Source organism: Homo sapiens, chromosome 17 (genome assembly GCF_000001405.40).
Source record: "Homo sapiens chromosome 17, GRCh38.p14 Primary Assembly".
Classification (NCBI taxonomy): Eukaryota; Metazoa; Chordata; class Mammalia; order Primates; family Hominidae; genus Homo; species Homo sapiens.
The window spans coordinates 67,143,139-67,170,156 of record NC_000017.11 but is presented as its reverse complement, the minus strand read 5'-3'; the positions used below and the strand labels follow the sequence as shown (position 1 = coordinate 67,170,156).

Here is a 27,018-nt window from a genome sequence, read left to right as displayed (position 1 = left end):
CATTATGCAGCTCTCGTCTGGGAAAGCTATATAAGACTTTCAATCTGTGAGAGCTTCTTGGGGGACTGAGCCCAGCAAAGCCAAAGAAGCCAGGCTGCCTGAGGCCTTGGGGGCCCAACTGCTGTTCCAGTGTGTCAGGATGTGGGATGTGGAAGCAAAGGAGATTATTCTTCAGCTTTAAGACTTAATGTTGTTTTCCCTTTTGGATTTTGGACTTACTTGGAACCACTTATTCCTTTCTTCTTGCCTAGTTTTCCCTTTGGGAATGGGAATGTTTATCCTGTGCTTGTCCCACCATTGTATTTTGGAAGCATGTAACTCGTTAATTTCACAGGCACAACTGGAGAGGAATTTGAATCAGGATGAATTGTGCCTTGAGTCTTATCCGTATCTGATTTAGTTCACACTCTGGACTTGGACTTTAGAGTTGATCCTGGAAAGAGTTAAAACTTTTAGGGGCTATTGGGATGGAATGAATGTATTCTGTATGTGAGAAGAACATGCATTTGGAGGCTATGGGCAGAATGCTGTAGTTTGAATGTCCCCTCCAAAACTAATGTTGAAATGTAATTGCCATTGGGACAGTATTAAGAGGTGGGACTCTTAAAAGGTGATTAGGCCATGAGGATTCCACCCTCATGAGTGGATAATGTGATTATACAGGAATGGGCTCCTTATCATGAGAGTGGGCTGTTAGAAGAGTGAATTCAGTCCTCTCTTGCCATTGCTTTTGCTCACACTTTCGTGCCCTTCTGCCTTCCACCATGGGATGATGCAGCCTGAAGACCATCACCATATGCCAGCCCCTTGATCTTAGACTTTCTATTCTCCAGAGCTGTAAGAAATAAATCTCTGTTCTTTATAAATTATCCAGTCTCAGGTATTCTGTTACGGCAACACAAAACAGACTAAGACAAACCTAAGAAAAAGGAGAAAATGTTGCCACCATTTCTTACCATGTTGTCTTACCTCTTACAGCACCATTTCAGAACAGCAAAGGAGAACTGTTAATTAGTTTACATCTTTCTTTCACTTCATATTTCTCTTTCTTTTTTTTTAATTTGGGGACAGAGTCTCACTCTGTTGCCCAGGCTGGAGTGCAGTGATGTGATAATTGGCTTACTGCAACCTCCACCTCCTGGGTTCAAGTGATTTTCCTGCCTCAGCCTCCTGAGTAGCTGGGATTACAAGTGCCTGCCACCACACCTGGCTAATTTTTGTATTTTTAGTAGATGCAGGGTTTCACCATGTTGGCCAGGCTGGTCTTGAACTGCCCCCCTCAGGTGATCTGCCCGCCTTAGCCTCCCATAGTGCTAGGATTACAGGCGTGAGCCACCATGTCCGGCTCCATATTTCTTGACTGTGTAAATTAATCTTGATTCTCTGTGCTGCCTTTACACATACTCTCTCATACTCACGTGCACACATGGAAGTGTGAGGGAGTATACCAACCATTGTCTGATAAGATAGGCCTTAACTTCTCTTGCCATAATTCCTGCATGAGACCTGCCTCCATGTAGCCATGAATGAAAATTTATTTTAAATGTTATTCATTAACATTATTGAAAGAGATATTTTATGGCTAGAATCTGCTGGTAAGATCTACTTGGAAAGTAATTGGTTTAAAGTCCATTGTAATTTTCAATGCAATGTGTTTCCTTCTGGTTCCAGGTGATTTTAAAGTCTTTATTGTCCCAGTGGTGTGTTCAGACTTTTATATTAATTAGTATATAATATTTCATGTTACTTAAAAAACAACATTTAGTTTCATTTTAAATACTCAGGTGTTTTTTGAATGTGCATATTCTTCAACACAACTTAGCTTGTATCTTTATGTAACTTACATGGGAGTTTATTCACTTAAAAAAAAGTTTTGTTGACCAGGCATGGTGGCTCACATCTGTAATCGCAGCACTTTGGGAGGCAGAGGTGGGTGGATCACCTGAGATCAAGAGCTTGAGACCAGCCTGGCCAACATGTCAAAACTCTGTCTCTACTAAAAATACAAAAATTAGCCGGGCGTGGTGGGCATCTGTAATCCCAGCTACTCGGGAGGCTGAGGCAGGAGAATTCTTGAACCTGGGAGGCAGAGGTAGCAGTGAGCCAAGATCGTGCCACTGTACTCCAGCCTAGGCGACAGAGTGAGACTCCGTCTCAAAAAAACAAAAAAAAAAATTTTTTTTTGTTGTTTCCAGCTTGTATTAAAGGCAGAAAAATACAGTTTTTAGCTCAATGAAGTGGAATTGATATAATGGTTTAATTTTTGGTATGTTTATATTTGATTTACTTTGTTTCACTCTTCTAGTTTTTATATATTTTTGATGTAAAATATTCAAACTAGTTTTCTACTTCTGGTTTAGGTTCAACCTTAAAGTGCAATTGCAGATTCTGGCAAGCTTCATGCTCACTGGTGTTTCTGGAGGTGCAAAGTATGCTCAGAATGGACAACTTTTTGGTCGCTTTAAGCTTACTGAAACACTTTCTGAAGATACTTTGGCTGGACGACTGGTGATGACCAAAGTCAATGCTGTTTATTTATTACCAGTCCCTAAACAGAAGTTAGTACAGACCCAGGGAACCAAAGAGAAGGTTTATGAAGCTACTATTGAAGAAAAAACAAAGGAATATATATTTTTAAGGCTATCTAGGGAATGCTGTGAAGAACTTAATCTTCGGCCTGACTGTGACACACAGGTATGTTTGAAGGTTGCAGCTTAACCATAGTGGTCTGTAGCCTCATTATCAGCTCGTAGTCTTCCTCTGGTTTAGTTTTTCTTCTGCCGTAAACAAAAGCAAAGCTGACTTTGAAGTCTACAGTGGTGGGTTGAAAATTGCACCTGTAGTAACTCCCAGAGAAAAGTGATTCTTTTAAATATAAGTAACATTTAGAATGTTCCAGTGTTATACAAGGTTGAGCTTTCTGATTAGAGTTTTAAATCAGCAATGGAAGAAAAGATGAAAAGAAACTATGTAAGCTACCTCCTGGGACATCTCTCATCTGCAGTTGTATCTGTTCCTGTTCTATCTTTATGGGTTTTTAGGTGAATTATGTCTTCAGTCTGCCATATTTAACTGGAAGACTAATCTTTTCTCTTTTTAAACATAAAACTTGGTGAACATTATTTATTAATTGTAAATTGATAGAGTATCAGGGCTAATCATCTCTCACGACTGGATACTTCACATGTTCTGATCTTTTGCAAAAGTATTTTCATGGGAATGGTAGAATAAAGTAGCCTTTAACTAGAGATTAGGTAACTTACAAATATGTCAATTTCTTAATATGTAAAATGATGTTAATAATAGTATATATATATCATTGGTACTATTAAATGAGATAATCCATAGTAAAGTACTTGTTACAGTGCCTGGTTATAAATGAACAAAGCAAATATTATTCATCATAATTATGATTAGACTATGATTATACTTTAAAAGAATCTCTAAACTTACTGTCCCAAACAGATTCCTCCCAAAGTATTCTAGTGAGCTGCCAGCATTGATGTTTGCTTTCATGCAGTTTTTAAAACATTCATTTTGTCTTTCAGGTTGAACTTCAGTTTCAATTAAATCGATTACCCCTCTGTGAAATGCACTATGCACTAGACAGGATCAAGGACAATGGGGTTTTGTTTCCAGACATCAGTATGACTCCCACCATACCATGGAGTCCTAACAGGTACAAAAAGGCGATATCTTATTAAAGGAAGTTAGGTTAATATTAAATTGAATATCTGTATCAAATAACTCAAGCATACTTTTATAAGAAAGTTTGCCTTTGCTTTTCAGGAGATATTGGTTTAGAAAGGAGAGTAAAAGAACACTTAAAATGAAACATTTGAGGTTCATCATTACTTTTTCTCAGAGTCTAAATGAATTCTACTGCTTTTCTCAACAGCCTTAATTTGATAGGATGCCAAGCAATTTAGGAATATTTCCAAGTAGAAGTTGAATGGGGAAATTAGGGCCTTTCTAAAGTGGTTCCAGTAGTTAATTTAAAATAATTTTTATTTATTTATTTAGAGTTGGGGTCTTGCTCTGTCATGCAGGCTGAAGTGTAGTGGCATGATCATTGCTCATTACAGCCTTGAACTCCCGGGCTCAAGCAACTCTCCTGCCTCAGCCTCTGAGTAGCTAGGATTATAGACACATGCCACTGTGTCTGGCTGATTAAAAAAAATTTTTTTTTGTAGACAAGGTTCTTGCTGTCTTGTCCATGCTGGTCTCGAAATCCTGGCCTCAAGAGACCTTCCTGCCTTATCTTGCCAGAGTTCTGGGATGTGAGCTACTACACATGTCCTAATTTAAAATAATTTTTAAAGATAGGAGAGATTTTTAGAAATTATCAAAATGGATGAAGTACGATAGAAGAAACTACTTCAGAAACTGCTCTCCAGTTAATGGTCGTATAAATATTGTTCTGCTTAAATTTTTTTGGGATGTCTTTACATGTAATGAAGAAGGTACTTCCATTTTGTTATAAGCATGGATGACAGTGAGAGCTGTATGCCTGCATCTGTCTTTTCATCTCTTCACTGGGTTTTATGCCCTTAGCACCTGCCCATGCTCAACTCACAACACCTTTGTTTCTTTTTTAATCTCAGTGGCTCTACAAAATAGAAGTTTATTTATCACTGTGTCAATTCAATCATGGTAGGATGGCCCTTTCCAAGACTAATGGAGCCTCTGGGATCTTTAGTAAGTGGTTTCCAGGGTCACCCTGGGTGTTGACGTTCAGCTGGCCGACAGGGGAAGAGTGAGCACGGAGGGTCACGTGGGAAGCTTTTATGGGCCAGGCCTAGGAGTGGTATATATCACTTCCCCTCACATTCCATTTCTTCTGGTCCTAAAAACAGAACAACACGAAATATGCGTTACAACACAAAACCTCAGTCATTTCTCCCTTGTTTTGCTTACTCTTACTGTGCAGTCCCCTCTGTTCTTTTTAGTGCCAAAATTCTTGAGAGGGAATAGTCTGCGTGTTTCCAGTATTCTTTCTTATTCACTCTGTAACCTCTGTTTTCCTCTTGTGTACTATCCTGAAAGTGATTGGTGATCTACTGATTGTAAAAATCCAGTGACATCTCCCAGTTCTCTTCGGATTCAGCTCCTCTTCATGCTTCCTTTTCTTTTCATTCTCAGAGCCAGTGCTGCTTTTAGACCCGGACTATTTCAGTAGCTTTCTAGTTGGCCTTTTGTCCTGTTGTCTGTGGCCCTGTTTTCTGGCTCATCACAAATATTTCTCCCAGAGTTAGTTTTCTAAAATAATCATGTCATTTCACTGCTCACAAATCTGATGGCTTCTCCTTGATATGTAGATAAAGGGTGAGCAGTCTAAGCCAAAGCGCCTGTGTATGGCCTCGTTGACTGTGCTTTCCAGCAGTATCCTTTCAGATTTCTTCTACTTTTTTCTACTTGACACTCCTTTTCTCCCTCTAAACTCTCATGTTTTAGCAATGTTGAATTACCTTGAAGTTTGTTTAATTTGCCCTGTACTTATTTGCCTCCTTATCTTTATGTTATTCTTTTTAAAAAGTTTTTAATTGTGGTAAAATCCACATAACATAAATGTACCCTCTTTACCATTTTAAGTGTACAATTCCATAGTGTTAAATATAGTCACACTGTTGTGCAATCTCCAGAACTTTTTCGTCTTGCAGAACTGATACTATACACCCATCGGACAACTCATTTCCCCCTTCCTGCAGCCTTGCCTCCTCTTTAAGTGATTTTCTGTCTCTCATATAATCTTTGCCCAATGTTAATTCACTGAAGATCTCTCTATCCTTTAAGATTGAGTCCAGCTCATATGCTCTCTTCCTCAAGCAGATGAACCTGACCCTTCCATGTCAATATTTTAACAACTATTTATTGAGTGCCTGACATGCGCTAGGCTCAGTTTTGTGTTTTCAAGCATAATTTCTCTCAGTTTATCAATTAATTCGTGAACATTTCTAGACAGTTTTTCTGGGTAAACTCTGAGCTTTGTACAGGAAGAGACTGCGTCTTATTTTTCTTTGAATACCAACAGGGTTTTACATATTATTCATATTCGGCACATTTAAGTTCATAAGAATTTCGAGTTTAAAGAAGAAAAGTTTCAATTGTAAGGCCATACCAGTAAGCTTTTAGGCATTTTTCTTGATATGCTCACTTCTGAAAATTACATTGTATATGATGTAGTATATTTAAATACTACTGACTGTAAGTTTTAACTGCAAAAGTAAGCAAACTTTCAAGCAGGAAAAGATTTTTATACCACTGTAATTTAAATAGCAATTAAAAGGTATCTGGGTCTAGGAACATACTGAGAAACTATTAGTTGTAATGGTAATGGGCTCACACCTGTAATCCCAGCACTTGGGGAGGCCGAGGTGGGAGGATTGCTTAAGTTCAGGAGTTAGAGTCCAGCCTCAGCAACATAGACCCCATCTCTATACATAAAGAAATAAATAGGTTGGGTGCGGTGGGTCACGCCTGTAATCCCAGCACTTTGGGAGGCCGAGGTGGGTGGATCACGAGGTCAGGAGATCGAGACCATCCTGGCTAACATGGTGAAGCCCCATCTCTACTAAAAATACAAAAAAAAAATTAGCCGAGCGTGGTGGTGGGCACCTGTAGTCCCAGCTACTCGGGAGGCTGAGGCAGGAGAATGGCGTGAACCCTGGAGGCAGAGCTTGCAGTGAACCGAGATCGCGCCACTGCACTCCAGCCTGGGCGACAGAGCGAGACTCTGTCTCAAAAAAGAAAAAGATACTAAGTTGGGTCTCTAAGAATTTGATAAATAAATACAAGTTGTTCCACTCATTGGCTTTCTATAAATGTTTATCATGATATCTGTCTCATTCTTAAGTTCATTAAAGTCCTCAGATTTGAAAGATGAAAGGATGTTTTAAGAACTTTTTGCTTTGAAAGCATGTACTAGTCAAGTAATATCTCATTTTTCTGTAATCTCTATAAAATATTGTAGTAACAAGCTAACCTTAATTGAGCTTTTGTTGCTCAATTATTTTTCTAAACAGCTTTACATGTATTATCTCACTTGATCTTTAAAATAACCATCTGATGCAAATGTCATTATCTTCATGCACAGATAAAGGAACCATTGGGGGCAGGTATCATAGAATCACAGTGGTCAGGTATAGATTGAAGTAGCAGTTTACTGAACTGATTGTGGCTTTAAAAGGTGGAGTTATCAGCCTAGAGATATGTGGTCCAGGGCTGTGCAGGAGCTCTGCAGGGCCATCATGGACAGACACCTCACCCTCCTCTACTATGTAGGGCATGTTCATTTTCTTCCTGATGTGTTTTGCCTCATGCAAAATATAAGATGGCTGCTGTAGTTTATTTACTTTTCCTGGTCAGCTGTGGAAGGAAGTGAAGAGCAAGAAGGCCTTTCTTTAGTTAAAAAAAAAAAAAAAATTAACAATAAGCAAGGCTTTGCTTTTATTTTATTGGGTATAGAAGTCCTTCTCAGGACTTCTTCCTGCATCTAATTGATCAGAATTGGGTCTGTAGCAAAGGAGGCTGGGAGATGGAGCATTAGAGCTGGCTAGGCTCAACAGTAGAGTAAGGCAGGGGAGAAGGCTCCTCGGATGGTTTTAGGGTAACCATTTCATCTAATGCTACATACATTAGATCTGGACTTAGCCATCACCTGAAGCAGTTTTTTCATTTATAGAAGATGGAAAATTGCTGGATACTGGCAGAATTATGAATAAATAAGCCGGTTAATGCTGAGGGACTCTGAAATAAAATGTTTGAGATTTAGCAAATGGCAAATTTCAGAAAAAATATTGGCATGATTACATGGTCAAAGTTTGTTTTCTAAGGTTTTACATTTTTTAAGGAGAATTTTGTTGGTTTGAGATTATATGTCATAATATAACAGTTATATATATATTGTAGAGATAGGGTCTTGCTGTGTTGCTCAGGGTGGTCTTGAACTGCTGGTCTCAGATGACGCTCCTACCTTGGCCTCCCAAAATGCTGGGATTATAGGCATGAGCCACCATGCCTGGCCAGGTTATAATTTCTTGAAAACTGAAAGCGTTAAGATTTTTCAAAAATAACCACCTTCTGATTTAAGTACAATATAGCCTCACAGAGAGAATTTTCCTGTCTAAACTCTGTCCTCTATTTGAGGGTTATTTTGCAGGCACTTTTATTTTAAATTTTCTAAGAGTTTCTTTACACACCCTTACTATTTTGATTCACATCCCTCTCATTTTTACCATAGTTGTTGTGACGTATAGTATTTTAACGGTAGTTGTGAGAAAGAATGCTGTTGATTCTCCACTCAGTTTGATGTGTTTCAGTATCTGCTGTCCATTTAAATCTTCAAAACTTAGCCAAGTCATAGAAGGGACACTAGTAAGATAGATCTCATTACAGTAGCCATCTGTGCGACTGTGACAGGTGTTCTCTACTTTGACCAATATAATATGTGTATTATTTGTGTGTGTGTGCAAAAATATTAAAAAACATTTTATTTTGTTTGGCTTTTTATGCCTTTTTAAAAAACTTAATATTTTCTACATTAAGATCTTTGTAAAAATTAGGATCTCTTAACCAGGGACATACAGATTTGTTCTTTTCCTCTTGTTTTAAACCTTACCAACAGATCTTTTAAATAATTAGAATTTGAAATTCAGATAGTTTCCCTATTGCATTTCATTTGTTATGCAAAAAAACCTACTACTTAATTAATATCAGTAAAAAGTTTTCTGATGCTTTTTTGTAACAGAGGGAAATTACATTTTTGAAACATTGCCATTTCTACTTAAAGACCTGGCAGCAGCTAGATTCGAAGTATGTGATTTCCTTAGATTAGTTACCAAAATCTTTTTGTACGTAGTGTAGGACAAGATAAAATTAATTTTGATTTACACGTTAAAACACTCTACACTGACTCTGTTGGGTAACTTTATAAAAAGTAGCTTTAGAATAAGCATTTGTTTTTATAGATGCTATGCTATTTCAGTGGTTTTAATGGTTCACTGAAATTCACGATACTCGTGTGTTATGTTCTATTTATTAACGAGATGCATGTGTTTAACATAAATTTTTATTTTCCATAGACAATGGGATGAACAGTTGGATCCTCGACTAAATGCAAAACAGAAAGAGGCTGTTCTGGCCATTACCACTCCACTTGCAATCCAGCTGCCGCCTGTGCTTATCATCGGACCCTATGGGACAGGCAAAACGTTCACTCTAGCTCAGGCTGTCAAACATATTCTGCAGCAACAGGAGACTAGGTGAGAGGGTGGGAAGCGTGCTCATATTTCCCTGGTAGGATACTACCTCTGTTCTTGTTTTAAATACACAATGAGGGCTAGCAAGACAGTTTTCATGCAGCTCTTAAACATGAAAAAAAGAGAAAAGGAAAAGCCGTAAATCCAAACCCCAGAGCACTAAAAATTTGAATTCTCTTAAAACATACTGTTTTTAGAATTGGTAGTATAGACAGTAAGTTTTAAAATAGTTTTTAAATAGCCATCAGAACAAGTTTGCTATGGAATTGTGGTATCTATTAGAGCCAGAAGACTTGGGTTTAAATATATGTGTATATTTTATATGATAGACTTAAAAATAATTTTGGGGTACTTCCTTTTTAACTTAAAGAGTAGTGTAATTTCCTAAAGGTATCACTGAATAATGCTAGGGATTACTGAGTAGGGTAAGGGAATTGTATAATATTAGGATGGCCACTGCTTTTTTTTTTGGTATTATACTGCTTGAATAGTTTTGTGTTTTATCATTCTTTTTATTTGCACCATTTATTTCAGCAGGATTCTCATTTGCACCCATTCTAATAGTGCTGCTGATCTCTACATAAAGGATTATTTACATCCATATGTAGAAGCAGGCAATCCCCAGGCAAGACCTCTCAGGTATTTTTTTTAAGGCTTATTATGTATCTGTATCATACTTTATTATTCTTAAGAAAAGGTGTCTGTAAAGATTTTAGTAACTTTGGAAATACCAAAGTCTTTATGCATTGACATTTAGAGGTTATGTCTTTTGAAGAAACTGTTTAAATTAAGGAAAAATGTAAAAATCTTTGACTATTCATTTCTTAAACATTAAGTAAGAGAAAGACATCCTTTTTTAAGTTTTGTGTGTATTGTTTCAACCTGAGTAGATTTTGATATGTACCTCTAAAAGCTAGTATGATGAAATAATATAAATATGATAACTTAAATTAAATCTAGTTCAGTAAAAATTCTAACATATTTTGCATGGCAGATTAGTCATGCAGTGGACAGTTCTTTATGAAAATAAAATTTTGGCTGTGATCATGCAGGTAATTTCATAGAAGCTACACATTAGATAAACATGAAATACTGAAATGATTTCTGCAACAAAATGTACTTGACTGGTATTTAACAACTTTTGCTACCATTTAAGAGACAAAGTGTCAAAGAAAATTTAAGGTTGATATAGAAAGGTCCTCTGAGTATATATGGACATGAAATGTACTTAAATATAGGATATGGGGGAATAAAAATCCTTTTCTTCAGAAAACAATAAAGAATCATCAAATTGTTATTTATTATACCATTTGCTTTCATTGTTATATGAATTAATGTTTAGTTTTGCCATTTTACAAACTAATATGTCATGCCCTAGGTTGTTTGAATACAATTGTTTATAAATTAATTTCTAACTGCACTTTTGAATCATAAGTCACTAACGTTTTATTTCTACTTGAGCTCAAGCATGGAAAAATGAAATTATGTTATTTAATTCTTCAGTAATCATAACCAAAGCTGTTTGAATGATCTTAGAGTTCCATTAAAAAAACAAAAGAGGAAAAAAGTGGTGTGACCCATTAACACGGGTTTTTATGCCATATTTTATTTTTACTTTGGAAGATTAAGAAGCAGTAATTATTTTAAATAGAATCTGGTTGTATTTAATGAGAAAATATTACATATATACAATCACTATCACTGTAAATGAAAACATGGTATTTATTGAAGGATGCATTCATCAATAAATAGTTTGCTTCAGAATCTAATCTCTGAGCTTGTAAGTGAAAGTTGAGTAGTTAGCATTTTTGCTATAGGTGTTCTTACTTTAATGATATAAGTTGTTTTGTTCACTTATATTGTTGGTAGAGTGAGCATGTGTGTGTTACATAGGAAGTGTGACCTTCTCAGTTATCGTGGTGTACTTGGTGTGAAAACAGTGGAGTAAAGCCCCCTCAAATCTCGGTCGACTTAGCATAGGTCATTTGACACTTGGGGCTGTAGAGCTGTTGCTGATGAACACTAAATCCGTCACTCGACTAGCTTATATTTAGCTTTTTCCATGTAAAATTATTTTTTGGAGGTTATAATCAAACATGTGGTGCATCTAGATATGCAGAATAAGAAGTTATGTTCAGTAGGGTACATGTATAGTTGTTGTGGCCCAAGTATCGAGACTCGCCCTTTAACTTACAGAGAGACTTACACCTGTCTGTAAGTCTCGAAAGTGGTTCAGCCCAAGATGGAAAAACATTTATAAATATATTCAAATGCAAATTTCATGTGATTTCATTTAGTAAATGGAATAAAGTAAGAAAAAGCCTGACTTCCCAAATATTTTCTTTATGTAGTCCTGCATTTTTGCCATAGTTTTTCTCTTTGGGAAAGGTGTTAACTTGCAAATGTATTTCTTAAGAATATTCATGCATTGAGTTCAGATTTATTAGCACTATTATTACATTAACTCATTAATTTATAATTTTTCTAATAGACAACAAACATGGGAGGCATGTGAAATGGAATAGAGAAGATTAGAATGACTGAGTGCTCTGGGAAGATTAGCTTTATCTGAATTGTCCCAGGATGCAGAGGAAAGAACACAAGAGGGCACTAAGTGTCTGCTCATGACCATGAAGATGGGTGTCTCTAGGGAGCAAGGCTCATGAAGAGTTTGCTCTCTTCATGATATAGGCTGGAACAGGCCCTGGAAAGTGCTATAGTGTGAAAATAGTCAAAACATTACATAGTGAATACAGTTGTAAATGTGCTTAAATATACATACTTCATGGTTAAAATTTGTAAAATTCTTTTAGTTGCCAGGAGTTGAGCTGAACTTAAAATATTTGGAGATGGAGATTTTAGAAACCATTTTAGATCATGTTTAGTTTCAGTTTTTACTTCTTCACTAGAACTAGAAGATTTTAAAATGGAATAGAGGGGAAAATATTTTTGTGTGTGGTTCTCAAGATCAGTATCTGGTTCTGGCAGATTTATGGCTTTGCAGATAGAGGTCATCTATGGAGGGGTGTATTTCCTGCTTTCTGGGAAAATGGAAGGTAATTGTTGTTTTATATTGATCTTCAAAGAAGCATATTCTTCTGTGATCAGGTCATTCTTATTCATAGTCTTTTAAGTAATAACATTTTGGGGGTTATTTGTTGCATATAAATTTACTACAGGAATAAAATTTCAGTGAATTAAAATTATATATTACCAGACTCTCTCTTATAATTCGTGTGGGATATGTGGATTGGTTTCTTTCTGGAAAATATGTAAATTCCTTAATTGGTATTACTTATATTTTATACTGTGAACTTGAAACTGTCTTGTTACCGTCAATTCTCCAATTTTAAAAAAATGTTGGCTGTGTTTTAAATAATCTTTTAGACAGTGTCTAACTTAAATGTTGCACAAAATGAAAGTACAGAGAATATTTTAAAATCTTTTAAAAGTTGGGACTAGAATATTATGCTTTCAAGAAAATTGGCTCAGCGATCAAGCTTTGTATTCTTACTAGCTTCAACTTGAGGTAGCTTTCCAAGGTAATTGTGAAAACGTCAGCAGTGAGACTTAGAACTTCAGTTTCTTTCTTTTTTTCCCCCCTCTTTGAGGAAGAAGCAGGTGCTTGGAGTTAGTTGATGAGTGTATTAGGCCGTTCTTGCATTGCTATAAAGAAATACCTGAGACTGGATAATTTATAAAGAAAAGAGGTTTAATTGGCTCATGGTTCTGCAGGCTTTATAGAAAGCATGGTGCTGGCATCTGCTCAGCTTCTAGGGAGGCCTCAGGAAGCTACAATCGTGGTGGAAGGCGAAGGGGGAGCAGGATGTCACATGGTGAAATCAGGAGCAAGTGAGAGTGAGTGTACGTGTGGGAGGTGCCACACACTTTTAAGACCAGATTTCAGAGCAAAAGCTTACTTATCATCAAGGGGATGGCCCAAGCCCTTCATGAGGGATCTGCCGCCATGATTCAGACACCTCCCACTGGGCCCTACCTCCAACACTGGGGATTACATTTCAACGTGAGATTTTGATGGGAACAAATATCCATACTATATAAATGAGTAATTTGAAAAACCACTTTTTTTTTTTCAATTTTACAATGAAATATTAATTGGAGCTCAGAGGTGAGGTCTTGGCTGGAGAGAGAAAATGTGTGAGTCACTAGGGTATTGGTGGTGATTGAAGCGTGAGCATAGATGAGATTGTTAGGGGAGAGGAGGGCTGGAGAGTTAGAAGGGAAGCAGAGAAAGCTTGAGTCATGGAAGCTGAGGGGAGAGTTCCTGGGAGGGAGCAACAGCGGAACTTTGCATGCTGCCAAGTCAGGTAACTCGCTGGGCCTGGAAACATCGATGTGATTTAGTGATGTAGAAGTTGTTTATGTCCCTTGATTAGATGGAGGGTAAGCCATGTTGAATGTTTAGAGGAGTGAATAGGAGGTTGGTAACTGGAGAGAACAATCTGGATAATACTTCTAAGAAGCCTGGCTGTGAAAGGAGGGGAGAGGTTGGGCAGTGGCTGGGAGAATATGAGGATTTAAGTAAATATTCTTTTTATATGGGAGAAACTAGATAATTTTAATTTTAAAAAGCCACCTGTAAGTGACAGGTTAAATTCAAATATTGGTAATTTTTTTTCTCATAATGACTCAAATAATTAGCTTTTGTTTTAGATTAGTATTTATATTTATTAAAAAATCACATGCATACACTATTACAAAAGGTCATGTTGTATTTTAAAGTTGGTAGCAAAAAATGTTTTGTTTTTTTTAATTAACCTAGCCATTGTTCACCAAATATCATTCCCAAGGGAATTTTTTACTTTTTTAGCAGTTTCTTTTGATACTTCCATTTTTCTAAATTATAAATATAATATATAAAAATTATGTGTGTATATATTATATAACAAATTATGAATATATAATACATAAAAATAAAAATTATATGTGTATATATGTATAATATATACACACACACATACATATATCAACTGTTATGTCTTAATTTGGTTTTGGATATTTGTTGACTTTCTATTGTAGCTTCTTTTTTTTTTTTCTTTTTTAAGACAGAGTCTTGCTTTGTTGCCCAAAATAGAGTGCAGTGGGGCTATCTGGGCTCACTGCAACCTCTGCCTCCCAGGTTCAAGCGATTCTCCTGCCTCAGCCTCCCAAGTAGCTGGAATTACAGGCACACGCCACCACGCCCAGTTAACTTTTGTGTTTTTAGTAGAGACAGGGTTTTGCCATGTTGGCCAGGCTGGCCTCGAACTCCTGGCCTCAGGTGATCTGCCCGCCTCGGCCTCCCAAAGTGTATGGTAGCTTCATTTTTAGTGTTTATTATTATGATCCTGTAAGTTATTTGCTCCTAACAAATAATATGCATATTTCCTTTCATATACATTTTTGGATTTGTTCTAGCATTAATAATACTTACTGTTTTTCATTTGCTTTATTTTCTTTGAACATCTAATCAGGTCTTTACACCCTAAGTAACCCTGTAAATACCTGCCACAACAAGTCTTCATTGTTACAGCTCTTAGATAATTTGTCAGTGCTGTTTTTTTCTCCTGGAAACTCCCCTTCTGGATTTCACTTGCTCCTCCTTTCTGAACTGGTTGTTCTTTGTTATGCTGATACTTCTCTTTGCCATTATTTTGGAATTTCTTTTTCTTCTCTCCTATATTAGATCCCATTTCCTGGATCTTAGGTCTTCCTCTTTCTTGATTTTCTACCTTGTTTTGATGGTGCACATCCTTTTGTACACACACTTAACTAGTGCTTTCAACCCTTCTGACAAAGTTCGTAAGAGGTAATGTTTTTTAGCTCTTGCATATCTGAAAATGCCTTTATTCTACTATCAGATTTAATAGCTCATCTGGGGGATGGGTGGAATTTTAGTTTTAAAATGTGGCTCATAACTGCATAGTTTTTCTTTAGTATTTGCTTACCAGTAAGTTGATATTTAGACAGGTAGGCCAGGATCAGAAATCATTAGGATTTTTTTCATGATTAACTTTGATGCATCCAGAGATGTTTTTATGTGAGCCAGTGCTTGCCTTTTAAGAAAATGATTATACATAGCTTATGATATAGAGGTTATAATTCTTCTGCCAAGTCTAGATTATCTACATTGTGTAAAATTTCCCCCTCACCAAATACCACTTACAAGCATGGTCTTGAATTGAATGAAAAATGGAAAAATGAACTCAATTTTGGTTCGAAGAATTTAAAAACATGTTTTGATATGATTTTTAATAAAAAATGATTATCAACTTCAGGCTTGTATTTTTCTTATTTAAGAAATCAATATTTAAAGCTGACTTTTAATAGCAATTTTCAAGATTTATTACTATAATAGAATTCCAATGTCTAAGAAAAACAAAGAAACAAAAAATTACTTAGTAATTAGTATCAGACAATAAAAAGAATTACTCTTTTATTTTACTTTTTAAATTATTATTATTTTTTTTTAAGACAGAGTCTCACTCTGTAACCCAGGCTGGAGTGCAGTGGTGTGATTTCAGCTCACTGCAGACTCCATCTCCTGGGTTCAAGTGATTCTTGTGCCTCAGCCTCCCAAGTAGCTGGGACTACAGGTGCATTGCCACCATGCCAGGCTAATTTTTGTATTTTTAGTAGATACGGGGTTTTGCCATGTTGGCCAGGCTGGTCTTGAACTCCTGGCCTCAAGTGTTCCACCCACTTCAGGCTTCCAAAGTGCTTGGATTATAGGCGTGAGCCATCACGCCTGGCCAAAATATTAATAATTACTCTTTTTAAAAACCTTTTTGGTTTGCTTCCAAAAATAATTTAAGTTTGCTCTAGTAAAATGTGCAGAGGCCATAAAATTGAGAAACATTAATACAAAGTAAGAGACAAGAGCCTAGTAACAAATGGTGGCTCTTTGAGAAAAGGAAATTATTACCAAAATTTTAGACTAACTGAAGGCATGCCAATTAAGCACCAGATTTTGCTCTTAAACTTTTTTGGAAGCTGAGTAGAAATTATCCTTTTGTTCCATATGATGACTTATTAAATAAAATACTTTGCACAATATGTGCTTTTAGATGGAGTAAACAACATACCTTTTAAATAATTATTTTGATTGCCTATATTCATATCATGATGCTACCTTTTTGCATTTGTGCAGTGTACATTGAATATTAACTGAGTGTTTAGAAATGCTGATTTTAGTTTCAGCTTTGCTGTGGGTGAAGGGAAGTGGGGGGGCTTCTGTTTGTTGGTGCCAGGCATTATGCTACATATTATACATCTGTTATCTCATTTGATTTCCCCAAATCCTTAAGAAGTTGAATTATTATACTCATTTTGGAAATAAGAAATGAAGCTTAGAGAGGGGAAGAACAGGTTTAAATCCTGGCTGTAAGCCCTTTGGGCTTTGGTTTTCCTAACTAGGGAAGAGGAATAATAGTGATGAAAATAACAATCATCTGATGATCTTTGTAATTTTACTGACGGAGTAGAAGCCATCAGAAGAGAATGCCCACATCTTCCCTTTGATAGAGCATCTGACTTGCATCTCCTTAGTAACTACTTTCCCTCCCATTCTAAACTGTTCTTTTCTAGGGGCCAACCTCTCCTCTTGTGAACGAGCTCTCATCCTTTCCTGGATACACAGCTTCTTCTTTCCTGCATACTTTTTTCTTTGTACAGCATGAAAATATACTATTGTGTCTTGTTTAAAAAAACAAAACAAAAACTCACCTTCACCCGACCTGCATCAGCCTTTAAGCAAAACTTATCCAGACAGTTGTCTATATATACTCCCTGGCACTACCTCCTCTCTTCTCTTTCTTTCTTGAGCTCAAGCTAATCAGATTTCCATCTGTAATTTTACACTAAAACCATCATATTGAGGTTCATCATATTGGTTTCCTTGTTGTTAAGTCCTGTGGTCAGTCTTCATTTTACGTAGCCTCTTAGCAGCATTTAACACAGTTACTCCTATTTCTATCTGAAACACTTGCTTCATTTTGCTTCCAATACCCCATGCTCTCCTGAATTCTCTCCTATTTCTTTGCTCCTTCCCAGGCTCCTTTCCCAGCTTCTGAATGTTGGAGAGGTCCATCAGTCATTCTTCCTTCCACTAGTTGTTTTTTTTTTTTTTTTTTAAATCTACTCTTATTTTCTAGGTAATCTCATCTAGTCTCAAGGTTTAGTATTATCCCAATTGTAGCTATCTTGCCCCAGGCATTCTCCTGAACTCCAAACTTATGTATTGCCTTGCTTACTGGATATATCCACTTGGATATCTACTGAATATGCCCAAAACGAAATTCTGAATTCCCACCCCAAATCCGTTCCTCTTTTTTACCACCTTTGCAAACGCCATCACCATTTATCCAGTTTCAAAGGCGTGGAATCATTCCTTCTCTCAAATTCCACTTCTAGTTCATCAGTAAATTCTGTTGGCGTTACTCTCGAAATGCCTAGTGAATCTGACCATTTTCATATCTCTATTGTTGGCCTAATCCAAGCTACCATCTGCTCTTGTCTGCACTCTTAACAGTAACCTTGTAACTGGTCTCCTTGCTTCTACCCTCTGCTCCTTCCTCCGTGCCGCTCAGTGTTGTGTTGGAGCCAACTTGTATTGGTTTGTTAGAGCTAATCACGTGTACGACTTCTCAGGTTCATGTTCAGTGAAATGCTGGTAGCTTGAAATTACCATGACAGTTTTACACCACAAAAATCAGCAAACACTACAAACCGGAATCCTCTCCCCTTCCTAGCCCTGGAGCCGGGTGTTAAAATATTTACCAGCACACCGCTATCCACCCCCACCATATATGTTCTGCCCAGAGAAACAGAATAGTCCTTTAACAAAATAAGTCATGTCATGTCACTGCCCTGTTGGAACTCTCTGTTGGCTTTTCATCAAACTCAGAGTAAACCCAAGGATTGCTCACAAGCCCTATGTGATCTGCCTGTGTGCTGGAGCATAGTGGATACCTAATGAATCTTTGTTACATGGGTAGGTTAGAGATGGGTGGGTGGATGAGTAGATGGATGGATGAGTCATTTCTGTGTCATTTTAATAATCCATTGCGTGAGGCCTATTAATATTTTTCTTTTGCAAATAATGGAAGTACTTAAGACTTTCCAGTTGTTCAAACTTTAAATTTATTCTTAAATTTCCAGAACCTCAGACAGAGGTCTACTTAAGTATAGGTATAAGAATATATTCTAAAATAAAATGAAAATAACCTTTGAATTCCTGTTATAAGTATGCAATTCACTGTTTTTTGTTAGCATAAATAGTTAAAATATGAGTCAATGTATTTTTGTAAGAACGTTCTAGAAAAAGATAATTCCAGAATGGGAATGTTTTGAACTTAAAAAATTGTAGTGCTTATAAATCTTACGTTTATGTGCCATTCTGTTGCAAGATTACTCTGAACACTTAAAAATAATTAGGTGTTTATTTTGTGGTACTGCATATACTTTCTATGTCTGTCATTTTTTTGGTAGAGAGTCACAGTGGTTATAGTGGCAATTGTGTGTTAAATTCTAATTCAATAGAGTGCTAACGGTTACCAGATTCATTTGTAACTTTTCAGATATTACCATCTTAAAATAACAATGTCAGTGTTTTAATAACTAGATACTGTTAAGAAATTAGTAAATGTAAATCAGAAATATTTTCTTCTTTTCCAGGGTATATTTCAGAAATCGCTGGGTAAAGACTGTCCACCCAGTTGTGCATCAGTACTGTTTGATCTCAAGCGCACATTCCACCTTTCAGATGCCCCAGAAAGAAGATATTCTTAAACATCGAGTGGTGGTTGTTACCTTGAATACTTCCCAGTACCTCTGTCAGTTGGACCTTGAACCTGGTATGCTGACTCAAGACACAGTCTCACAAGTTTAGGGCTTATGAATTCAGTTTAGACTGGGATTGGCAAACTACAGTGTGTGGGCCAAATCTGGCTCACTGACTGTTTTTGTAAATAAAGTTTTACTGGCTCATTTATTTACCTATTTATTGTCTATAGATGCTTTTGTGTTACAGTGGCTGAGTTGAGTTGTTGCAGCAGAGATTCATTATATGGTCCACAAAATCTAAAATATATACTGTTTGGCTCTTTACTGAAGAAAAATTTGCCAGCCTCTAGTTCAGACATTTTAGTGACTGCTATTCCATTTATTCTCTAGTTGGTCAGATGATGTTTATTATTGATCATATGAAGAATTCCAATTTGGAGAGTGTTGGTGTTTTCCTTTTCTTTTACACTTTTCTCAGATTTTTGTTATAAAATGCTTTTGCATTATATACTGTAGAGATGATAATTATGATAGGTTTTATTATGGCATGTTATTAAGATTGTTATATTTGAGTACAGGAACCATGTAAAATCAAACTAGTGTTATGTGAAGTACAGATGTAAGATGTCAAGAAGTTGTTCTGATAAATATGGCAAAACTTAACCATCAAAAAGCAGTACAAATCTGGGGCCAGGCGTGGTGGCTTATGCTTGTAATCCCAGCACTTTGGGAGGCCGAGGCAGGCGGATCACTTGAGGCCAGGAGTTCAGCCAGACTGGGAAATACAGTGAAACCTTATCTCTACAAAAAAGTTCAAAAATTAGCCAGGCCTTATGGCATATGCCCGTAGTCTCAGCTACTTGGGAGGCTGAGGTTGGAGGATCACCTGAGCCCGAGGCTACAGTGAGCTGTGATCATATAGCACTGCACTCCAGCCTGGGAGACAGAGTGACACCCTGTCTCAAAAAAAAAAAAAAAAAAAAAAAGAAAGAAAATAAATAAATAAAAGTACTCAATACTCTTAGATTAGCAAACTAAACTCTTTACTTAGCAGAAAAGAAAATAACTATAGTCCTTCTGCCTTTGTTGCTGCTCTAGCGTGCTATCCTGTGTTTATGCTGCATTTTCTAGGGTTTTTTACACACATTCTATTAGATGAAGCTGCCCAGGCCATGGAGTGTGAAACCATTATGCCTCTAGCATTAGCAACTCAAAACACTCGGATTGTCTTGGCTGGTGATCACATGCAGGTAAGTGCCCTCTGAGTTGCTGTGTTGAAAGTAACTTTTAATTATATTTTGATGTTTAATATTCTATTTCTAAAACATCCTATGACATTATGCCATGCATTATAACTTTAGTACTTCAAATAGTTCTGTACTAATAGTGAAAAATACTGTTATTTCTGAAGAAAAATTACTATTCTGCTACTCTTTTTTCTTTTTTGGATAGTCTGTCACTGTTATAATTTTCATGTTTATTTATTTAAGTTCTGTTCTTTATAGTATGAATATCTGATTCTTACTTTTTTTTGTGAAGTGAAATTTAAATGATCATTCCTGTAGGATCCTGGGGAATTGTAATTCCCCAGCTCCTGTCTCTATTATTTGTTTACCTGAAGGAGTAATTTTTTTTGGTGTAATAGAAAACTAGGAAATAGAGGGCTTAAATTACAGCCAAAATGTCAAAGAGTGTGATTTTATATATTTGAATATCTATATGTAGGAAAGAGAAATACAGTTTTTCTGTGAAGATACCTGTTTTACAAGGTTGCAGTTTGGGGCTCTTTGTCTCCTGCTGCAGTTAAGATTGGACCTACATCATACTATATAGCTGTCGGGACATCAAGGAGAGAGTTAAATGTAGAGGAACAAGCTCTGTTTTCATTTCTTTGCCTAAAGTAGTTTAATTTTGTTCTTTAGTAGTAAAAGGCATAACCATGAATGGCTCCTTATACTTCATAAGATCAAGAGGGTTGTTTTGTTAATTATTAACAATGATTTTTTAGTGGTAGGCTGTATGTCCTACCAGCTCATCATTTAAAATAATTAATCAATTTTAGTGAAATAACTGTTTGACTCCCACAGTGATACAGTGGGTTGCATGCCTGGAATCACTGAAGTAGTAGCTATTCATTATTATGCTGGGGAGCCCTTTGTCAGGTGTAGAAAGAAACTCTGGGTTAGTGTTGGTAAACTGCAATGAGAAGTTAGAAATTTTAGCCAAGTTCTTAGTAGTGGTAATGGTTCAGAGAAAATATTACTGATTGTGCTTGTCCCAGCATTTAGCATGTTGAAGTTTTGTATATAAGAAGTTTTAGCATAGTGGATTTTTTATAAGTAGGTTAAAAAATACTATTTGTATGTTCAGTTAAACTTTCTCTGTATGTTTGTCTGTTACAGCTCAGTCCTTTTGTTTACAGCGAGTTTGCCAGGGAGAGAAACCTTCACGTTTCATTACTTGACCGACTCTATGAGCATTACCCTGCTGAGTTCCCATGTAGGATTCTCCTGTGTGAGAACTACCGCTCCCATGAAGCTATCATCAAGTAGGTGTGAACTGCCCCCTCCGTGTCATACTTTCGTTGGTCTGATAGTAGGAGGGAACTCAAAACAGCACTGCTGCTAGGGACAGATGATTCCCAACACACTTACATAGTGTCCCTAGTCTTGCAAATTATGTTTAATTTTATGTCTTTAAAAGAAAACTTCAGAAGTCAGAGTTGTAATTTTTCACAGAATAGGGCTATTTTGGGAAAAACTCTGAAATCATGTTCTTCCTTTACTCTCTCACAACAATTAACACAGAAGACTTGTATGATCGAATGTAGGGAATTCCTTTCCACCAACAAATAAGCAACCAGTTCCGCAGGGGACACCAGCTGGGTGTCCTCCATTTCACTTCTGACACCATCTATCCAGAAATAATGTCCAATCCCACAGGTTGAGGGCTTAGAAGACTGCCCCCCTCCCGGCCCCCCAGCAGTCACAAGCCTGAGCCTTACTTCTGACCGGCTGGCTTCAAGTTGAGGGTCCTGCGACCCTCTTTTTGGGTCTTTGGGTTCACTTAATTTGCTGGAGTGGCTCACAGAATGCATGGAAACAGTTATTTACATTTACTGGTTTATTATCAAGGATATTACAGAGGATACAGATGAAGAGTGCCTAGGGCATGGTATGGGAGAAAGCGCGCAGAGCTGGCATGCCCTCCCTGGGTGCGCCACCATCCAGAACCTCCACGTGTTCAGCTTTCTAGAGGCTTTCGAACCCAGTTCTTTGGGTTTTTATGGAAGCTTTGTGATGTCAGCATTCCTTCCCTCAGAGTATAGGGTGGAACCCTCTCTGTGGAGGGTCTTAAGACCCACAATCACTTTGGGAGGACGAGGCAGGAGATTTGCTTGAGTTCAGGAGTTCGAGGCCAGCCTGAGCAACATAGAAAGACCCCCCCTTCCTACCAAAAAAAAAAAAAAAAATTAGCAGGGCATGGTGGCATGCACCTGTGGTCCCAGCTACTTGAGAGGCTGAGGTGGGAGGGTTTCTTGAACCCAAGAGGTTGAGGCTTCAGTGAGCCATGATCATGCCGTTGCACTCCAGCCTGGGCGACAGAGCAAGACCCTGTCTCAAAAACAAAAATAAGAATAAAAAGGCAGGGGAAGATTAGAGTCCTGCTTTGGGGCAGGTGAAAGGAAGGCAGGAGAAGGCCAGAGAGATTCTGTTTCTTGAGGCCTGACATACCCAAATTATAACAAAAGACTGTAACAAGAGCTGTGGTAGTTATGAGCCAGGAACTGTGGATGAATATATATCTATCTATATATCTATGTCTATATCTATATCTATATATATCTACACATACAAATAAAATAACACCACAGGGGCAATTCTGGAAACCAAAACTTTAGATTCTGTTAGCTATGCATATGTTTTTCTGTGACTAAATATATAATCTATATGAAAAGCTACATGCTGTAATAAATATATTGACAAACAGCATGATGGTTTGCTTATGTCTTTGGCTATGTTGTACAAGTAATCTGCTTTAAAAGAAAGGAAGAAAGGAAAGAAAGGGAGGGACAAAACCATGAAACTTATTAATAAGTTTTAAAGTATTTCTGTTAGCTATAGTATGCATCTATAAAGGTATATATCTCAACAACTCAGTGGATTGTCACCACCTGCGTGCAGCATGTAACCCTAATCCACATCAGGAAGCAGAACATGACCAGTGCTCCAAAAGCCCCTTTGTGCTCCTTTCCAGTCACTACCCTGACCAGAAACTTACACTATAAAAAAGTTTAGTATAATTTAATAATATTGATTATGTCAGCCATGTGAAAACCATTTTTAGGTTTCCCTGAAAGCAATTGGATAGATATAATTGTATCTCTCAAAATGTGATTCTTTTATTATTTTCAGTCATTTGCTACAGTCACTGATGAGTCAAGTACTAGATGGTGTCTTCATCAGTAAAGCGAATTCATTTTACAGTTGACGGCTTGACTGTCTTTCAGTTGTGTACATTGTTCCAGCATCTGTATGTCTTTGTGTTTGCATGTATTAGTACAATCATGGGTCACATTCTGAGAAATGTGTCATTAGGTGATTTTGTTGTTGTGTGAACATCACAGAGTGAACTTACACTAACCTAGATGGCATAGCCTACTACACATACAGGTTATATGGTGTAAATGGCCTGTTGGCTCCTAGGTTACAAACCTGTACAAAGCATGCTACTGTACTGAATACTGTAGATAATTGTAAAACAATGGTAAGTATTTGTATATCTAAACATGGAAAAAGTATGGTTAAAATACAGTACTATGATCTTATGGGACCATCATCATATGTACTGTCTATTGTTGACTAAATCATCATTATGTGGTACATGATTGTATGTGACTCATTTAAATAAAAAAAAATTAACCAAGGAAATATACAGGCTAGCAAATTTCCTCATAAAGTCTCATCTTGTATTGAACTGTCATCATTTCTTCCTGTTTTGGCTTCGTACCTTACCAAAATCATTCCATTTAACAATATTATGCCAGGACCCTACTCTTGTTATTTATGGAGAAATTCTTGGTATCACAAGTATTAGATGATTGGAGTAAAATTAATCATGGACATAAGGCAATATTATTAGAATCGACTGATTTTTTTTTTCTTATGGGTGAAATTAATTTTGATGTAGATTTTCCCCCTTTTTTCTTTTTGTCTTTTACTGCAGTTATACCTCTGAGCTTTTCTATGAGGGCAAACTGATGGCCAGTGGGAAGCAGCCAGCACACAAAGATTTCTACCCACTAACTTTCTTTACAGCACGAGGAGAAGATGTACAAGAAAAAAATAGCACAGCTTTTTATAATAATGCAGAGGTACCTTAATTCTTTTTGTAAATTGTTAACATTTTCTCAGTCACATCGTCTAGTTTTGTTAAGCATTTATTTAAAGTTTTGGGTTGACATTGTATTGCATATTGACTTCATTTACATGTAAATAGTATGTAAAGTTTATTCTTTCTTGTATAACATTGATTTGTTCAGATGAATCTCCTATGGGAAGCAAAAACTTTGATTTACATTTTGTCTTATGGTAAGACAAAATACATGATTTCATTCAAAAGAAAAACCAAGATTGTTCTCAATTAGATCATTATTGTTAGGTATCTAAAATAGACTCTGAGTAAGTTTTATAGTGCATATGCAAATGAGGTGTATCATTTTAAATGAATAAGACTTGAATTGCAGAATTCTATGCTCCAAAGAGATCACAGGGACCCAGACAGCGATGTTGCAATTCCATGATGTGCTCCAACTTATATAATTCTCTTGCAATTTCTGACTTTTTAGGTTCAGAGAGCATGTGAGTAGTTTGAAGGGTCAGGTCAGGCAGCAGACCAAAAAAATGGCAACGTCTTCAGGGGCTAACAAACCAGAAACCCTGGAGTTAAGGTTCTGTCCGTCAGGAGGGAGTTGAGTTCTGGACTTCAGGAAGCCCGAGGATGGCATATCATTAGGGGCGGCATGGCTCTTGATCTCCAGTCTACACTGCCCTTGAATTCCATGCTTTACCCATATTATTTACAAAGAAATGGCTTTTATTATGTAGTAGGAATTCATTTTTCCGTTAAGACATTGCTCATGGGCCTGTAGTTAGAAGTCAGTACAAAAAAATCATCAGTACTCACTTGATAAAATCCTAGCCAAAAGCAAAGAAACTTGACATTTTGGTTAGTCTGTGCCATTTAATTTTAGGAAAAGGTAAACTTTTCTTTAAATATTTGAAATATTGAAAATAACTTTAGGGGTCTCCTTTATCGTTTTTGCACTCAAGTTGGAAACCACTGGCCTAGAAATTAGCCATGGTATGGGTGGGAGGGATGACAGGAAGTGGCAACCAGGGCCTGTCCAGAAGCCTTGGTGGCCCTGCGGTGACATCAGGGATCAGAGCTGAGCCCTGATCCTTGATCCTGAGGCGGGATTGATGTTTGCCAGAGACTCAGTTTCTCAGCCTGGGTTACTTGTTCATTCACGGTGACCTGGTGTGTTTCCCAGGAAACCTATAAGCTATAGGATAAATAAGGTGCCGGTTCATGGACTGTCAGTTTTACTCAAAGGTTTTTTTTTTTTTTTTAATATTTGTTCGTATTAAAAGATCACAAAGACAGCTCACTTTAAAGGTCGTGTGACCTTTAAATATTAAACATGTAACTTTAGAGACATTTCAAACCACCTTGACTTTCACCAGAGCATGGTTGTTGAGACAGTGTCTTCAGCCCCATAAGTTACTGTAGTCAAAAATTTTGAGACACATTGCTCCAGGACTCTTCCTGCAAGGGGCAAGGACTGACCCTGTTCACCTCAGCTAAATACCAGTGTAGGCGTTTTGAATTTTTGAATACCAGTATAGGCATATTTGGATACTAATATAGGTTTATTTGGACAGTAAGATGATTTTAGAAGCTCTGGGCTTTTCTTGATGGTATGTAATTTAAAGGTGAAACTCAAATCTATTTTGTGTTATAGAACAAGCAGACCAAGTGGCATCAGTTACATTCGTAGGGGAAAATGATATCTTTTATAAAGATTCTGACTAATACTTAGGAGGGCATTTGAAAAGAGTTTACATTCCACTATTAGGAAAATAAGATAGTCTTACATAGAGTTAAAATCAAAATGAACCTAAATAAAAAAGTTTGGAATTATAAGTTCAAGAACCTCAAGTTGAAGGAATACTCATAGCATATGTGCTGTGTGTAATTCTCCTTTGTTTAGACAACATGCTTTTTATTTTATGTATCTTGTGCTTTGTACATCATTTGAAATTGTGTCTTCTTTCACATGCTTAAAATTGTAGAAGGAGACTGAGAAAGATCATTCTTTTTTTTCTTGATTCTGAACTTATATCCCACAGTAATGAAATGGTTTCAATTCAATGCCAAGGTGAAAAAAAAGTACAATTTAAGTACTAAGCACCAAAGATATGTTTTTTTTTTTTCTTTGTTTTTTTGAGACAGAGTCTCTCTTTGTCATCCAGGCTGGAGTGCAGTAGTGTGATCACTGCAGCCTTGACCTCCTGGGGTCAGGTGATCCTTTAACTTCAGCCTCCCAAATAACTGGGACTATGGGTACGCACCACCACGCCTAGTTAATTTTTTTTAAAAAATGTATTTTGTAGAGATGGGGTCTTACTATGTTGCCCAAGCTAGTCTTGAACTCCTGGGCTCAAGCGATCCTCTCACCTCGGCTTCCCAAAATGCTGAAACTAGAGGTGTGAGCAGCCACACCGGGCCAAGGTATAGTTCTTAACCTTGAAAAATTCAGTTGGAAGGGAGGAGCTATGGATAATAACCGTAAGATGGTGTGATCTGAGAGGTAGACAGAGTTGTACAGATATACAAAATGAATTCATTGGGCTTGGTGGGACCTGAGGCATAGAGGAGAATGTGGTTTTTGCCTCATATGTTTTGAGAATCTGCA

General features: G+C 37.0%; 1 protein-coding gene across 10 annotated transcripts in view; it reads left to right on the top strand.

The window, feature by feature from the left end:
- HELZ (helicase with zinc finger) overlaps window positions 1–27,018 on the top strand; it is a 175,546-nt gene that overhangs the window by 75,833 nt on the left and 72,695 nt on the right. For 6 of the 10 annotated variants that reach the window (XR_001752712.3, XM_047437224.1, XM_011525544.2 and 3 more), the window contains 8 exons: window positions 2,361–2,694; window positions 3,549–3,679; window positions 9,081–9,260; window positions 9,792–9,896; window positions 18,933–19,111; window positions 20,172–20,290; window positions 21,443–21,588; window positions 24,267–24,414. Coding sequence is in view for 9 of the 10 variants with exons in the window: in XM_047437224.1 (XP_047293180.1) it covers window positions 2,361–2,694; window positions 3,549–3,679; window positions 9,081–9,260; window positions 9,792–9,896; window positions 18,933–19,111; window positions 20,172–20,290; window positions 21,443–21,588; window positions 24,267–24,414 (1,342 nt within the window). In the remaining variant the exon portion in view is untranslated. The remainder of the gene's footprint in view (window positions 1–2,360; window positions 2,695–3,548; window positions 3,680–9,080; window positions 9,261–9,791; window positions 9,897–18,932; window positions 19,112–20,171; window positions 20,291–21,442; window positions 21,589–24,266; window positions 24,415–27,018) is intronic. The other 4 variants (XM_047437225.1, NM_014877.4, XM_005257888.6 and 1 more) reach the window with 1 other exon arrangement.